The sequence below is a fragment of the Homo sapiens genome, chromosome 2 (assembly GCF_000001405.40).
Source record: "Homo sapiens chromosome 2, GRCh38.p14 Primary Assembly".
NCBI lineage: Eukaryota > Metazoa > Chordata > Mammalia > Primates > Hominidae > Homo > Homo sapiens.
The window spans coordinates 3,356,041-3,374,467 of NC_000002.12; the positions used below are offsets into that span (position 1 = coordinate 3,356,041).

At 44.2% G+C, this 18,427-nt stretch overlaps 1 protein-coding gene across 5 annotated transcripts in view; it reads right to left on the reverse strand.

Annotated features, from left to right (window-relative positions):
• EIPR1 (EARP complex and GARP complex interacting protein 1) overlaps positions 1-18,427 on the reverse strand; it is a 188,849-nt gene that overhangs the window by 167,071 nt on the left and 3,351 nt on the right. Inside the window, exon 1 of one of the 5 annotated variants that reach the window (XM_011510383.4) lies at positions 587-898. The exons of 3 other annotated variants lie outside the window; for them this stretch is intronic. In XM_011510383.4, the coding sequence (XP_011508685.1) occupies positions 587-664 (78 nt within the window). In that variant the 5' untranslated portion in view covers positions 665-898. Of the gene's footprint in view, positions 1-586; positions 899-18,427 lie in introns of those variants that run through there. One more of the 5 variants, XM_011510385.3, reaches the window with a different exon arrangement.

Genomic DNA, 18,427 nt, shown 5'->3' on the forward strand with positions numbered 1-18,427 from the left:
AGGAAGGGCTGGGCTGAGGGAGAAGATGAAATGCATCACATCTGCAATGGAGGTCTCAGCCAATCCAATGGGGAGCTCTGGAGCCGGACGGCCCTTCAGAGTTAAGGCCAGATGGCCGGGGTTTTATACCACCCAACCCCTACCCCCATGGGTCAGTCACTGGATGCAGGCTTTTCCTGAGGAGGGGTGTGACCTTGCGCAAAGTGCCTCTGTTCAGCTGAGGGCAATTCCTGGAGCAGGGCCCAGCTGAGAGCTATCAGCCCCCAGCAATCTCAGAAGTGGCTGGATTTCCTGAAAGAGAAACGTAGGCTGTATACAACAGCCTGAATTGCAATAGCTATGGTTAATATGTTTAATAATTAGAAGATAAAACTAAGATCTCAGGTGATGAATCTGAGGCTTAGAGGAAAAAGTTGTACAACTGGTTACTAGAGCTGTGACTAGCACTGCAGGCTTATAAATTCAAATCCATCTGTTTTAGGACAAGCATTAACTGCACCTGGATCAAGTTCCCGTGGCCAGCATAATAATGGCCCTCCATCCATATCCACATTCTAATCCCCAGAACCTGTGAATGTGAACTTACGCGGTAAAGGGACTCTGCTGATGTGCTTAGATTAAGGACCTTGAGATGAGGAGGCTCTCCTGGATTATTTAATCGCATGGGTCACTGAAATCAGAAAACCTTCCCTGGCTGTAGCCCCAGAGAAATGTGACCACAGAAAAGAGAATCAGAGAGGTGGTGAGGCAGGAGAACAGGGTCTGGAGGCAGGGCCTAAGGCCAATTCACCCTGACTTCCTAGAACTAAACTGAAAGGAAAACGCTAATTTTCCCCACCCAAGTAACAAAAGGACCAGAGGCTACACCCTTTGCAAACCCTCACCTTTTCTGCATGGCAGTAGGGAAATTGAAAGTACCTCTGATTGGTTGCTTTTTGCAACTAATCAGATGTTTGCATAAAGCTGTAACTTTGTAACTTCACTGTAGCCTCTGATTGGTTGCTCTGATTGGTTGCTTTCTACAACCAATCACACTGATTGTGGGCCATCACTTCATTTACATGGGGTAAACACCAAGTGGCCAATGGGAAACCTCCAGCAGGTATTTGGACCTGAGAAGATTCTGCATTCAGGGCCCTTGAGCAGCTGCTCGGCCCAATCCCACCCCATGGAGCGTACTTTCATTTTCAGTAACTCTCTGCATTTGTTGCTTCATTCTTTCCTCACTTTGTTTTGTCCAGTTCTTTGCTCAAGATGCCAAGAACCTGGACACCCTCCACCAGTAACAATGGCAGCTGTGAGGAGGACCCAGTGGCTGTTGCTGGATTTAGAGATGAATGAGAGTTGTTAAAGCAAACTAAATATGGCCTGAGAAGGACTCCCTGCTTCTATATTTGAGTCCTTGTGGATGAAACATAACCTACCTTAATATGCAGACAAGATTGAGAACCTAACTTAGGAGTATGCACCTGTAACAACTGAGTCTTGGCCAATCCCAGCAGCCATACTTCAACCACTCATACACTGCTGAGTGTTCAAACTGTGTTCAAATAAGGCAAATGCCAGCCTGTAACCCATCCAGCTGTTTCTGCACCTCACTTCCCATTTCTGTATGTCACTTCCCTTTATTTGTTTATAAATTTGTCCTGACCACAAGGCATCCCTGGAGTCTCTCTGAATCTGCTGTGATTCTGGGGGCTGCCCAATTCACGAATTGATCATTGTTCAATTAAACTCCTTTAAATTTAATTCAGCTGAAGTTTTTCTTTTAACAGAGTCCGTGAGCCAAGGAATGTGGGTGCCTCTGAAAGTTAAAAAAGGTGAAGACACAGATTCTCCCCTAGTGCCTCCAGGAAGTAACAGAGACCTACTTATGTCTTGACTTTAGCCCAGGGAGATTCATTTTGGGTTTCTGACTTACAGAACCGTAAAATAATAAAATTATGTTATTTTGAGCCACTACGTTTATGGGAATTTGTTATGGCAGCAACAGGAAACTAACCCTGCATCCTACAGCTCACTAAATGCCCCCATTCGGTCATGCCCCCTTCCCATACGGAGCTCCGAATACACCTGACACCCACTTCCCACCTCCTCGGCAGTCACATCCAACTCTTACGTGTTCTTTCTGGTGTTTTGATTCATTTCTTTCAAAACCAGTTAAGAGAAACAAGTGAACGGTTGCCCTGACCATTTAGTCTGCCTAGTTTTGACTTGGTTTCCACAACTAGAGCAAAACAAGGACATCTCTTGGGTGTCCACTGCAAAAAAGTTGAGAGAGAACAATTTCATGAACTGTTCTTAGAAAACATAACCAATATTATCTATGTTCCCAACCTTCCCAAAATAGCAGCACAAAACTTCAACAGCTAAAATACATTTCAATAAAACCGAGAATACACATGTCTAGAGCAACATTCCCATGATTAGACACCTGGAGAAAATATCTGTGTGAGCCAATTCAACTCTTCAAGATACATTTAAGGGTCCCACTGTCGGTATTCCTCTACCCTCTGCTGCAACTTCCCTGGACAATTTTTGGAGCTTTAGACTCATAAAGTTATAGGCCTTCTGCCAAAAAGGTGCATATATGCACAGAAAATTTTGCATATAATTATCAGCAAGTCACAGAGCCTCTGACGCTATCCAATTTAAACAGCTCTGGCTTGGAGAAAGATGACTCTGATGAGGAGGAGGGCAAGCCATTCCTGAAAGACAAAGCCCTGACTACTCCAAGGCTGAGCCCCAGGTCAGGAGAGAGAACACCGGGACAGGTCCACCTTCAGACAAGAACCCCAAGATTTTCAAATGCAGGACTGTGTTATCACCCTAGACGTTAAAAAGCCCAAAAGCCCCCAAAAATAGCACCCAGGAGAGGACCCACCTCAAAGGGAATGATTATTTTCCACAGAAAAGCTTGTCTATGCCTCAAGTCAGTGATGAAGGGTTGCCTAGTGGCAGGTGCTGTGGAGGCATCAAAGAGGTATGAGGTGCCACCTCTGCCCTCAGGAAACTTGGACTCTCATTAGGAGAGAGGAGACAAACACTCAAAAAGATTAAAAGACAAGATGATAGACGATTAAGTATCAAAAACACTGGCACAGACCATAATAACAACATATTAACATTTATCAAAATGAACCCAGGAGCTCAAAGTTAGACAGAAGGCAGGATTAAATGCCATCACTTTAAAATAGAAGAAAACCAAAAATAAGTAAATTGTATCAGTGGCTACTATACTGAAAAATGAAGGGCAAGTCAGAAAATGCAGAAGCTGCTTGAGTGACAACAATGAACCGGTATTCAATTTACTCCACTCTAAAGCAATTTGCAGAGCCGAGAGCTGCATACCTGGAGAGGAATCATGGTAAGCAGGCAGAAAAACAAGTCTAAATAGATCATCTGTTTCAGACAGAGTGAAGAGGTTGCAGTTTTGGAAAAGCATTGCAAATTTGAAACTATCTTATTCAAGCTCATACAAGAAAAGACACTTCTTTAAAAAAAAATGGAAGTGGAGAATCATTTGTATAGACCTATCTAAAATGTATCTTTAAAAATCACAGTGAAATAAAAAGTTTAATTTAAGAGCTTTCCAAAAATTATTTAATTTGGGCCATTCTGGTGACAGATCTCCAAGTGTATAATTCTACCTCTTTGATTAAAGTAATGATAAAATGACCACTAAGTCTAGTCAGAATGATCGTTTTACAGGTGTTCCAATGACCTTATTACAAAAGATCAAATTTTTATAGTATAATATGTCAAAAAACATTTTCACACATTCTGTCTTGGTTCATCCTCATAATTCAATGAAGTGCACAGAAGACAGGATGCAGATTATTCCCATTTAGTACATAAACTGAGGACGAGCAAGGTCATGTGACTTCGCCTCTGCCTCAAAGCTACCAAAGGGGAAAAAGAACCCACACTCCCAACGTTCAGCCCGGCTATGGCTCTCTCATGGTAAAGTAGGGTAGCTGGCAACACAAATGGCACATTTGGTAGAAGCTGGAACACAGGTCCCTTTATACTAAAAATTCTGTGTATTTTCCCCAGTTCTTATAAAGAAAGGCCAAGGCGAGTCTAGGCACAGTGGCTCACGCCTGTAATCCCAACACTTTGGGAGGCCGAGGCGAGCAGATCACCTGAGGTCAGGAGTTCGAGACCAGCCTGGCCAACATGGTGAAAACCCATCTCTACTAAAAACACAAAACTTAGCTGGGCGTGGTGGTGAGCGCCTGTAATCTCAGCTACTCAAGAGGCTAAGGCAGGAGAATTGCTTGAACCAGGGAGGCAGAAGTTGCAGTGAACCTAGATCGTGCCATTGCACTCCAGCCTAGGCGACAAGAGTGAGACTCCATCTCAAAAAAAAAAAAAAGAAAGAAAGAAAGAAAGGCCAAGGCATTTTTCTCACAAAGCCAAATTTCTAGTCTGCCACCACCCTGTAGGGAACCAAACCAGGCAAAGGAATTGGAAATGCTGAGAGTTCAGGATCGTAGCAGGAAAGAATCATCAGGAACCTTACAACTACTTAGAGTAGGTAGAAATATCAGTACCTAGACATATTAACTGAGCACACACCATTCCCTTGGGAAACTCAAAACTGTATTCATTTGCTTACTAGGTTAAGCAAGTAAGTGGTTTCCAGAAACAGGTAGCAAACCGTGTCCATTAAAGCTTTGCTATCAGAATTCTCCACTTAGAAGGTTTAAGGAGGGCAGGTGGAGAGGGGCTTCAGCTTGAAGCAGGGCAGACACAGGCCAGGAGCAGATGAACCTGCTCTCCTACACTGAGAGTCTCCCTCCAGAAAGGACCGCTACAAAGCGCTGCTCACCAATCACCAGGATGACCCTCAGGAAGAGGAAAGTATGGGGAAAGGGGAGGGGGAAGGAAGGGGAGGAGAAGGGAGGAGGGAGGAAGAGAAGAGAAGAAAAAAAGGAAAAGAAGGAAAGGGGGCAAAGTCCTAACTTCCCCATTCTGTGTTACCTAAATACCCATTTCTCATCTCCTACACCCAAAAGAAAAAATGCAGTCAAAGAATTGAAGTGCATTAAAAGGAAAATAAACCCTCCAGGAGAACTGAGGTGATGATGCTCTATTTCTGAGAGCCCAGAAGCCCTAACACACATTCATTCATTGGCTCCTGCACTTACCCGTTGAAGTCCAAGCCTTTCCACGTAGCTAAGGGGCTTTCATTCCACCCTCACCTCCTCCATTTTGTATTGCCTGGGGCAGATATTACCTGTAATCTCTTTGCAAGCCCCTGGTGCAAGCCCAACCCCCTAAGCTGCAAGGAAAGAACTCACTTCACAGGTCCCCAAGGAAACAGAGCCATCTCTGGCTTCCAGGAAACCCCCATAGCAGCCATTCTGCTCTCACCTCTCTCTCTTCTCTGGCTTCTTAGTTAACAGCTCACATGTCCCTTTCTCCTTGGAAAAAAAAAAAAACTGTCTTTGACTTGATGTCCCTCCCAAACTACTGCCCTATCTCTGTCCTTCCACTCACAGCAGATGTAACAATGGGTAAGCAGGCGAGGAGTGCTCTTCCAGCCCTTCCAGCCAGCTGCGCCCAGTTCCTCACCCTGTGCTGACCTGACCTCCACTCAGTCATCAGAGTCACCCAACTGTCAGACCCAACAGCCGCCTCCAGCCCCAATCCTGCCCTTGGACTCCCTCACACGGGCACCTCCACCCTCTGACCCTGCCCAAGCCCTTGGACTCCCTCACACGGGCACCTCCACCATCTGACCCTGCCCAAGCCCTTGGACTCCCTCACACGGGCACCTCCACCATCTGACCCTGCCCAAGCCCTTGGACTCCCTCACACGGGCACCTCCACCATCTGCACACCCTGCAAGGCCTTCCCAATCGCCTCCTGCTCTTCTTTCTCCCTTCACCTACATTTTTGCTTCTGGAGTTCGATTCTGACTTTTCTCATCCACACCTTCCTCTTTGGCATGCTCCCTTTTCTGTAAGTTAGGCCCATGCTTTCCAAATGCGAATCTGGTGCCCAGGCACATCCTAAACTGCCCGAGCCAGACCCGCACTAAGCGCCCCTGGGCACGTCCACTCAACTAAGCTTGGACCTCAACTACCGTTCTGGTCCCTGTCCCTCCCCAGTCCCACCAGCCCCTTTCATCACACGGGGATGAGCCCCTCACTCCCAGCCTGCCCCATTCATACACACAGGGGTGAGCCCCTTCCCCACAGCCTGCCCCATTCATACACAGGGGGATGTGCCCCTCCCTCCAGCCTGCCCCATTCATTCATACACATGGGGGTGAGCCCCTCCCTCCCAGCCCCACACCCAATACCTGGGCTCTGGCTTTTCCAGCGCTCTCCATCCCCACCCTCCTCTCCCCATTCGGTGCTTAAATTACATTTTAACAACCTCTTAACCAATTTTCCTGACTGAGTCCATGTTCCAGTTTTTACCCTAAACCTTGCCACAAAAGCTACTTTATCAAGTCAAATCTGGACTTCAGGTTTTAAGCGGTGGGCTGAAGGCTTCATTTCTTTCCTGTCAGACTCTGGGAAATCACACAAAAGCAGGAAGAAGGAGATCACCCCACTGCACTCCAGCCTGGGTGACAGAGCGAGACTCTGTCTCAAAAAAAAAAAAAAAGGAGAAGAAAAAACAGAAATATAAACTCCATCTACAGTGAAACTTAGAAACATCTATAATCCAAAGGCATAGTATCTGAAGACAGAGGGCATTGGCTGCTGAGGTCAGGAAGGAGCAGGTGCTGGAGGCAGGCTGGGGGAGCCACAGCCCCGCACGCCCCAGGGAGCAGTCCCTAGACCACATGCATGCCCTGGAAGCAATGCTGAAACCCTGGAGGGGACAACAGCAACAGGTGCCCAGGCTGGGGGCAGGTACTTCCCATACACATGGTAGGAAGGAGAGTAGGGCAGGCAGGGCTGCCTGGTGTCTTCTCAGGAAGCTGTTTCTGGCTCTTCAAGCTAAGGGGAGAGGTGTTGCATCCTGGGCGGCCTGCATCTGCCCTTCTCCTTGGGCTTGGGGTAAATGACAGCTCAAAGAATTTCCTCACAAACACAACACTATGTCGTCAGCATTCCTGCCAGCCTGCGATGGGGGCCGGGCCCAGCTCCACATACAGATCCTGCTGGACCAGGAAAAGATTCACCATGAAAAGACCAGCGATCAAAAGAAACGAGCACAGGTGCCAAACAAAGGCACTACAAAGGGAGACGGGCAGGGAAGAAAAACAAAAAAAGACATCAAAGGATGGAAAACACAAACCGGGAAGTATTGACACATGATGGCTGAAAATTGTAATCAAACATATCAACAAAAATCATAAAACTTAATGAAGGAATCATCTTTCTAAAAACAGGGAAGAGAAGAAAAGCAGCCAAGCATGGTGGCTCATGCCTATAATCCCAATACTGACGGAGGCCAAGGTGGGCAAATGGCTTGAGCTCAAGAGTTTGGGACCAGCCTGGGCAACAAGGTGAAATCCCGTCTCTACATAAAATATAAAAGTCAGCCAAGTGTGGAGGTGTGCGCCTGTAGTCCCAACTGCTCAGGAGGCTGAGGTGGGAGGCTTGAGTGCCAAGGCTGCAATGAGCAGAGACTGCACCCCTGCACTCCAGCCTGCTTGACAGAGTGAGACCGTGCCTCAAAAACATAAATATATAAGAAAAGAAAAGAAGACACAGAATGGGGTAAAGATTTGCAAATATCCATCTGTCAGGCGATTAATAACCACAACAGATAAGAAGCTCAGACAACTCAACAGCAAAAAAAAAAAAAAACACCAAAATAAATCAATTAAAAAATGGGCAAAAGATCTGAATAGACATTTCTCAAAAGAAGACGCACAAATGGCCAACAGGTCTATGAAAACATGCCCAACATCACTAACTGTCAGAGAAATGCAAATCAAAACCATAATGAGATTTCATTTCACCCCAGATAGAATAATTTTTATTAAAAAGGCAGAAAATAGCAGATGCTGGCAAGGATGTAGAGAGAGGGAGCCCTCATACACTATTGATGGGAATATAAATTAGTACAGTCATTATGAAGAAGAGTATGGCGTCTCCTCAAAAAACTAAAAATAGAGCTACCACATCATCCAGCAATCCCACTACTGGGTAGATATTCAAAGGAAAGGAAATCAGTATGTTGAAGAGATACCTGCACCCGTGGGTATACTGCAGCATTGTTCACAATAGCCAAGACATGGAATCAACCTAAGTGCCCATCAACAGATGAATGGATAAAGAAAATGTGCTATACATACACAGTGAAATATTACTCAGCCATAAAAAAGAATAAAATTGCCATGGACAGTGGCTCATGCCTATAATCCCCGCACTTTGGGAAGCCAAGGCAGGAGGATTGCTTGAGCTCAGGAGTTTGAGACCAGCCTGGGCAACATGATGAAATCCCATCTCTACAAAAAATACAAAAAAAAAATTAACCTGGTGTGATGATGCACACCTGTAGTCCCAGCCACTCTAGGGCCTGAGGTGGGAGGATCAATTGAGCCTGGGAGGCAGAGGGTGCAGTGAGCCGAGATTGTACCACTGCACTCCAGCCTGGGTGACAGAGTGAGACCCTCCCTGTCTCAAAAAAAAAAGAAAGAAAAAAAAAAAGAATGAAATCTTGTCATTAGCAGCAAAATGGAGGTCATTATGTTAAGTGAACTAAGCCAAGCATAGAAAGACAACACATGTTTTCAGTCATCTGTGGGAGCTAAAAACAAAAAGTAGATCTTCTGAAAATGGAGTAGACTGATGGTCACCAGAGACTGAGAAAAATAGCAGGGTGGCTTGGATGAAGAAAAGTTGGTTAATAGGTACAAATATACAGTTGGATAGAGGAAATAAGACATAGTGTTTGGTATATCAGCAGGTTGACTACAGTTTACAACAGTCTATCGTACATTTCAAAATAGCTAAAAGAGAATAATTTGAATGGTTCTGACATAAAGAAAAAACAAATATTTAAGGTGATGGATATCTCAGATACACTGATTTGATTTTTACCATCATATAAATGTATTAACTTATCATATATACCCTGAAACTATATACATTTAATATGCATCAATTTAAAAAATTGTTTTAATTAAAAAAAAAAAAGAAGCTGGGTGTGGTGGCTCAAGACTATAATTCCACAACTGTAAGAGGCCAAGGCGGAAAGATTGCTTGAGCCCAAAAGTTCAAGACCAGCCTGACAATATGATGAGACCCCCCATCTCATTGATTGATTAAGTGATTGACTATATAGATTAGATAGATAGAGATAAATAAATAAATAATAAATGAGCTAGGCTTGTAGTCTCGGCTACTTGGGAGGCTGAAGCCGGGAGAGAGCTTGAGCCCAAGAGTTCCAGGCTGCCATGAGCCACGATCGCACTACTGCACTACAGCCTGGTCAACAGAGCAAGACCTTGTCTCAGAAAAAGCTTTTTTTTTTTTTTAATTTATTTTTATTGATCATTCTTGGGTGTTTCTCGCAGAGGGGGATTTGGCAGGGTCATAGGACAATAGTGGAGGGAAGGTCAGCAGATAAACAAGTGAACAAAGGTCTCTGGTTTTCCTAGGCAGAGGACCCTGCGGCCTTCCGCAGTGTTTGTGTCCCTGGGTACTTGAGATTAGGGAGTGGTGATGACTCTTAACGAGCCTGCTGCCTTCAAGCATCTGTTTAACAAAGCACATCTTGCACCGCCCTTAATCCATTTAACCCTGAGTGGACACAGCACATGTTTCAGAGAGCACAGGGTTGGGGGTAAGGTCACAGATCAACAGGATAAGAATTTTTCTTAGTACAGAACAAAATGAAAAGTCTCCCATGTCTACCTCTTTCTACACAGACACGGCAACCATCCGATTTCTCAGGTGGGGGAGTCAGCCCCCCGCCCGGCCAGCCGCCCAGTCCGGGAGGGAGGTGGGGGGGTCAGCCCCCCGCCCGGCCAGCCACCCCGTCCGAGAGAAAAAGCTTTTTAAAAAGAGGCCCGGCATGGTGGCTCACACTTGTAATTCCAGCACTTTGGGAAGTCCAGGTGGGCGGATCACTTGAGGTCAGGAGTTCGAGACCAGCCTGGCCAACATGGCAAAACCCTGTCTCTACGAAAAATACAAAAATTAGCTGGGTATGGTGGCATGCACCTGTAATCCCAGCTACCTGGGAGGCTGAAGCAGGAGAATCGCTTGAACCCAGGAGGCAGAGGTTGCAGTGAGCTGAGATTGTACCACTGCACTCCAGCCTGGGTGACAGCAAAAACTTGTTTCAAAAGAAAAAAGAAAAGAAAAGTAAAAGAGAAAAATGCAAAGCAGAACTCAAAGAAGATATGGCAAGACAACCCAAGACAAATAGACGGAAATTAAAACTTCCAGCACAGGAAGGAAGTCTGCAGTGGAAAGGACACAAAGACAGACAACCCCCAAAACACAGCAGGTGACAGGGACAGAATTGAGAAGGGTCTCTCCAGTGAATCCGAGGACAAAAAAGAAATTTGACCTGAAATTCAAAATTAAATTCAAAGCTGCAAAACATCCACAAAACAATAAAATCAAGAAGTGAGTGTTCACAAGAAAATCCATGTGTTTAAAATGCTTGTATTAATAAAAAGAATGGAAACAAATAATTTAAGCAACTGCAAATAAAAAAAGACCAACATAGAGGGTAATTAAGATAGAAAAATGCTGAGCAAATGAAAGGAAATTGTTTTGAATTTTTTGTATTAAAATTTTCAACTGGCCGGGCGCGGTGGCTCACGCCTGTAATCCCAGCACTTTGGGATGCCAAGGCAGACGGAACACGAGGTCAGGAGTTCGAGACCAGCCTGACCAACGTGGTGAAACCCCATCTCTACTAAAAATACAAAAATTAGCCAGGTGTGGTGGCACACACCCAGCTACTCAGGAGGCTGAGGCAGGAGAATCACTTGAACCTGGGAGGTGGAGGTTGCAGTGAGCCAAGATTGCGCCACTGTACTCCAGTCTGGGCCACACAGCGAGACTCTGTCCCAAAAAATAAGTAAAAATAAAAATAAATTAAAAATAAACGAAAATAAATTCAACTGATGAAATTAAAAAAAAAAAAAAGGGAACAACCTAAAAGACAAATCCTCAATTCTCAGAGACTTCACTCCTCTACAGAAATGCCTCTGCAAGGGTGCGTCTTGGGTGGGTAAATCCACGAGGGCTGGGATTTTGTCTGTTTCCTCCTATGCTGTGTTCCAGGCACATAATAGTGCCTTATTGCAGGGAATAAATATTTGTTCACTGAATGAATGATGAATTTTCCAGGAAAATGTAAGTTACCAAAACTGATCAGAAAAGAAAGACAAGAAATCTGAACAACTAGTTACCACAGATTAACAAGTCAACACTGTAACAGCACCACACCTTAGGAGCAGGCAACACCAATATTACCTTCAGTTGTTTCCAACACAGAAACAGAAGGAAAATTCCCAAGTGCTTTTTATGCAGCCAGCATAGCAGTGAAACAAAACTCAACGAAGAAAATACACAGATATTAACGTGAAAATTTTCAGTAAATGACTCGTAAACCGAATCCAGCAGAGGACTATTCCACAATCAAGTGGAATTCTTTCTAAGGATGCAAACGCTGGGCCAATATTTAAAAAGCTATTAATGTAACTGACCAAAGAGATCAAAAGAGAAAAATCCTAAAACCAAATTATCAATTCCATGGATATAAAAAGGCATTTGAAAACTTAATCTCTCGGCTGGGTGCGGGGGCTCACACCTGTAATCCCAGCACTTTGGGAGGCCAAGGCAGACGGATCACAAGGTCAGGAGATCGAGACCATCCTGGCTAACACCCTGAAACCCCCTCTCTAAAAATACAAAAAATTAGCCAGGCGCGGTGGCAGGCGCCTGTAGACCCAGCTACTCAGGAGGCTGAGGCAGGAGAATGGCGTGAACCCGGGAGGCGGAGCTTGCAGTGAGTTGAGATCGCGCCACTGCACTCCAGCCCGGGTGACAGAGCGACTCTGTCTCAAAAAAAGAAAAAAGAAAAGAAAATTTAATCTCCATCTTCCATTTCAAAAGTCTTTCCTCACTTGGCAACAGGCAGACCCTGAAGCGCTGGCCTGGTCCATCTGTCCCTCAGACTGATGGCACAAAAAGCCAAAAGCCCACAGTCTCTTTGCCCCTCTGACCTGACTGCACTGATCTCAGGACTCCAGGAGAACCTCCCAGAACAGAAAGGAGGCACGCATATCCTTGTGTGGCTTACAACCTGCCCTGCTTGCTTCCTGGTTTTGGTGGTAAACCGAAGGGAAAGCAACTTGAAACAAGCCCAAGTCATCATTGTCACCCACCTTCCCACCCCGACCGTCCTTTCTGGTCTGGCCCAGCTCACTTGGCAGCAGTGGGCTCAAATAGGAGTTGGCAGATGTAGCCCTCACTCTGCCCACACCTGCAGGCCCTGCTTGCCGCTGGTCCATCTTAGTCACATGCCTGCCCCCAGACCTACACATGGGCAGAGCCACCACTGCCTAGAGGTTCACTGTTCCCATCACAAGGCAAGTTTGCCACATGGAGATTTGACCCACACAACAAAGAAGATCTATTAATGTCAAAAGTTCAAAGAAACATGATTGCAGGAGAGAAGTCATACTGTTTGTATGCACTTTGAGATAGTCACAAAGAACTACTGTTGTGTTAACTGACAAGTATTCATTAAACTCATATTGAGAAAATGGATTTCTACTGAGCAGTAAACTAAAAGTGTGCAAAAGCATTTCAAATATCATTTGAAATTTCATGCATTTCAAATATAATTATAAAAAAATCCAGAATCATTACCATGAATTTGCTCAGCATTTTGCGATCTTAACGACCCTCCGTGTTGGTCTTTTATTTGCAGTTGCAGTACTGCCCTTTATCTTTCAAGTGTCATTACCTTCACTCAGCGGTCAACGATCAGATCTCTATCCTTTCATGTAAAGTGTTCTCCATGGGATTTGAATGTCACTGACAAACAAACAAAAAAAAACACTATCCTTTTCAGTTTTCTTGTTTACTGCAATGATGGTTCTTCAAACTTAAGAAAGTCTTGGTCCATGATACTATCCGATAAAATCCAAGTAGCAAAAGTCAGCTACTTCTTTTAAGATAAAGAAGAAAATCCAATAATATATTTGACTACCTTAGAGAATCAATTTCATTCATTTTTCAAACCTCAGAAAATAATATTTCAGGGAGGAGCCAAGATGGCCGACTAGGAACAGCTCCGGTCTAGAGCTCCCAGCGTGAGCAACGCAGAAGACGGGTGATTTCTGCATTTCCATATGAGGTACCGGGTTCATCTCACTAGGGAGTGCCAGACAGTGGGCGCAGGTCAGTGGGTGCAGCGAACCGTGCGCAAGCCGAAGCAGGGCGAGGCATTGCCTCACTCGGGAAGTGCAAGGGGTCAGGGAGTTCCCTTTCCTGGTCAAGGAAAGGGGTGACAGACAACACCTGGAAAATTGAGCCACTCCCACCCAAATACTGCGCTTTTCCGACGGGCTTAGGAAACAGCGCACCAGGAGATTATATCCCACACCTGGCTCGGAGGGTCCTATGCCCACGGAGTCTCGCTGATTGCTAGCACAGCAGTCTGAGATCAAACTGCAAGGTGGCAGCGAGGCTGGGGGAGGGGCGCCCGCCATTGCCCAGGATTGCTTAGGTAAACAAAGCAGCCGGGAAGCTCGAACTGGGTGGAGCGCACCACAGCTCAAGGAGGCCTGCCTGCCTCTGTAGGCTCCACCTCTGGGGGCAGGGCACAGACAAACAAAAAGACAGCAGTAACCTCTGCAGACTTAAATGTCCCTGTCTGACAGCTTTGAAGAGAGCAGTGGTTCTCCCAGCACGCAGCTGGAGATCTGAGAACGGGCAGACTGCCTCCTCAAGTGGGTCCTTGACCCCTGACCCCCGAGCAGCCTAACTGGGAGGCACCCCCCCCGTAGGGGCAGACTGACACCTCACACGGCCGGGTACTCCTCTGAGACAAAACTTCCAGAGGAACGATCATACAGCAACATTCGCGGATCACGAAAATCCGCGGTTCTGCAGACACCGCTGCTGATACCCAGGCAAACAGGGTCTGGAGTGGACCTCTAGCAAACTCCAACAGACCTGCAGCTGAGGGTCCTGTCTGTTAGAAGGAAAACTAACAAACAGAAAGGACATCCAACCAAAAACCCATCTGTACATCATCATCATCAAAGACCAAAAGTAGATAAAACCACAAAGATGGGGAAAAAACAGAGCAGAAAAACTGGAAACTCTAAAAAGCAGAGCGCTTCTCCTCCTCCAAAGGAACGCAGTCCCTCACCAGCAACGGAACAAAGCTGGACGGAGAATGACTTTGACGAGTTGAGAGAAGAAGGCTTCAGACGATCAAACTACTCCGAGCTACAGGAGGAAATTCAAACCAAAGGCAAAGAAGTTGAAAACTTTGAAAAAAATTTAGACGAATGTATAACTAGAATAACCAATACAGAGAAGTGCTTAAAGGAGCTGATGGAGCTGAAAGCCAAGGCTCGAGAACTATGTGAAGAATGCAGAAGCCTCAGGAGCCGATGCGATCAACTGGAAGAAAGGGTATCAGTGATGGAAGATGAAATGAATGAAATGAAGCGAGAAGGGAAGTTTAGAGAAAAAAGAATAAAAAGAAATGAACAAAGCCTCCAAGAAATATGGGACTATGTGAAAAGACCAAATCTGCACCTGATTGGTGTACCTGAAAGTGATGGGGAGAATGGAACCAAGTTGGAAAACACTCTGCAGGATATTATCCAGGAGAACTTCCCCAATCTAGCAAGGCAAGCCAACATTCAGATTCAGGAAATACAGAGAATGCCACAAAGATACTCCTCGAGAAGAGCAACTCCAAGACACATAATTGTCAGATTCACCAAAGTTGAAATGAAGGAAAAAATGTTAAGCGCAGCCAGAGAGAAAGGTCGGGTTACCCACAAAGGGAAGCCCATCAGACTAACAGCGGATCTCTCGGCAGAAACTCTACAAGCCAGGAGAGAGTAGGGGCCAATATTCAACATTCTTAAAGAAAATAATTTTCAACCCAGAATTTCATATCCAGCCAAATTAAGCTTCATAAGTGAAGGAGAAATAAAATACTTTACAGACAAGCAAATGCTGAGAGGTTTTGCCACCACCAGGCCTGCCCTAAAAGAGCTCCTGAAGGAAGCACTAAACATGGAAAGGCATAACCGTACCAGCCGCTGCAAACTCATGCCAAAATGTAAAGACCATCGACATTAGGAAGAAACTGCATCAACTAACAAGCAAAATAACCAGCTAACAGCATGACAGGATCAAATTCACACATAATATTAACCTTAAATGTAAATGCACTAAATGCTCCAATTAAAAGACACAGACTGGCAAATTGGATAAAGAGTCAAGACCCATCAGTGTGCTGTATTCAGGAAGCCCATCTCACGTGCAGAGACACACATAGGCTCAAAATAAAAGGATGGAGGAAGATCTACCAAGCAAATGGAAAACAAAAAAAGGCAGGGGTTGCAATCCTAGTCTCTGATAAAACACACTTTAAACCAACAAAGATCAAAAGAGACAAAGAAGCCCATTACTTAAGGGTAAAGGGATCAATTCAACAACAAGAGCTAACTATCCTAAATATATATGCACCCAATACAGGAGCACCCAGATTCATAAAGTAAGTCCTGAGTGACCTACAAAGAGACTTAGACTCCCACACAATAATAATGGGAGACTTTAACACCCCACTGTCAACATTAGACAGATCAACGACACAGAAAGTTAAAAAGGATACCCAGGAATTGAACTCAGCTCTGCACCAAGCGGACCTAATAGATATCTACAGAACTCCCCACCCCAAATCAACAGAATATACATTTTTTTCAGCACCACGCCACACCTATTCCAAAATTGACCACATAGTTGGAAGTAAAGCTCTCCTCAGCAAATGTAAAAGAACAGAAATTATAACAAACTATCTCTCAGACAACAGTGCAATCAAACTAGAACTCAGGATTAAGAAACTCATTCAAAACCGCTCAACTACATGGAAACTGAACAACCTGCTCCTGAATGACTACTGGGTACATAATGAAATGAAGGCAGAAATAAAGATGTTCTTTGAAACCAATGAGAACAAAGACACAACATACCAGAATCTCTGGGACACATTCAAAGCAGTGTGTAGAGGGAAATTTATAGCACTAAATGCCCACAAGAGAAAGCAGGAAAGATCCAAAATTGACACCTAACATCACAATTAAAAGAACTAGAAAAGCAAGAGCAAACACATTCAAAAGCTAGCAGAAGGCAAGAAATAACTAAAATCAGAGCAGAACTGAAGGAAATAGAGACACAAAAAACCCTTCAAAAAATTAATGAATCCAGGAGCTGGTTTTTTGAAAGGATCAACAAAATTGATAGACCGCTAGCAAGACTAATAAAGAAAAAAAGAGAAGAATCAAATAGACGCAATAAAAAATGACGAAGGGGATATCACCACCAATCCCACAGAAATACAAACTACCATCAGAGAATACTACCAACACCTCTACGCAAATAAACTAGAAAATCTAGAAGAAATGGATAAATTCCTCAACACATACACTCTCCCAAGACTAAACCAGGAAGAAGTTGAATCTCTGAATAGACCAATAATAGGATCTGAAATTGTGGCAATAATCAATAGCTTACCAACCAAAAAGAGTCCAGGACCAGATGGATTCACAGCCGAATTCTACCAGAGGTATAAGGAGGAACTGGTACCATTCCTTCTGAAACTATTCCAATCAATAGAAAAAGAGGGAATCCTCCCTAACTCATTTTATTAGGCCAGCATCATCCTGATACCAAAGCCGGGCAGAGACACAACCAAAAAAGAGAATTTTAGACCAATATCCTTGATGAACATTGATGCAAAAATCCTCAATAAAATACTGGCAAACTGAATCCAGCAGCACATCAAAAAGCTTATCCACCATGATCAAGCGGGCTTCATCCCTGGGATACAAGGCTGGTTCAATCTACGCAAATCAATAAATGTAATCCAGCATATAAACAGAACCAAAGACAAAAACCATATGATTATCTCAATAGATGCAGAAAAGGCCTTTGACAAAATTCAACAACGCTTCATGCTAAAAACTCTCAATAAATTAGGTATTGATGGGAAGTATCTCAAAATAATAAGAGCTATCTATGACAAACCCACAGCCAATATCATACTGAATGGGCAAAAACTGGAAGCATTCCCTTTGAAAACTGGCACAAGACAGGGATGCCCTCTCTCACCACTCCTATTCAACATAGTGTTGGAAGTTCTGGCCAGGGCAATTAGGCAGAAGGAAATAAAGGCTATTCGATTAGGAAAAGAGGAAGTCAAATTGTCCCTGTTTGCAGACGACATGATTGTATATCTAGAAAACCCCATTGTCTCAGCCCAAAATCTCCTTAAGCTGATAAGCAACTTCAGCAAAGTCTCAGGATACAAAATCAATGTACAAAAATCACAAGCATTCTTATACACCAATAACAGACAAACAGAGAGCCAAATCATAAGTGAACTCCCATTCACAATTGCTTCAAAGAGAATAAAATACCTAGGAATCCAACTTGCAAGGCACATGAAGGACCTCTTCAAGGAGAACTACAAACCACTGCTCAATGAAATAGAAGAGAATACAAACAAATGGAAGAACATTCCATGCTCATGGGTAGGAAGAATCAATATCGTGAAAATGGCCATACTGCCCAAGGTAATTTATAGATTCAATGCCATCCCCATCAAGCTACCAATGACTTTCTTCACAGAATTAGAAAAAACTACTTTAAAGTTCATATGGAACCAAAAAAGAGCCCTCATCGCCAAGTCAATCCTAAGCCAAAAGAACAAAGCTGGAGGCATCACGCTACCTGACTTCAAACTATACTACAAGGCTACAGTAACCAAAACAGCATGTTACTGGTACCAAAACAGAGATACAGATCAATGGAACAGAACAGAGCCCTCAGAAATAATGCCGCATATCTACAACTATCTGATCTTTGACAAACCTGACAAAAACAAGCAATGGGGAAAGGATTCCCTATTTAATAAATGGTGCTGGGAAAACTGGCTAGCCATATGTAGAAAGCTGAAACTGGATCCCTTCCTTACACCTTATACAAAAATTAATTCAAGATGGAATAAAGACTTAAACGTTAGACCTAAAACCATAAGAACCCTAGAAGAAAACCTAGGCATTACCATTCAGGACATAGGCATGGGCAAGGACTTCATGTCTAAAACACCAAAAGCAATGCCAACAAAAGCCAAAATTGACAAATGGGATCTCATTAAACTAAAGAGCTTCTGTACAGCAAAAGAAACTACCAACAGAGTGAACAGGCAACCTACAAAATGGGAGAAAATTTTC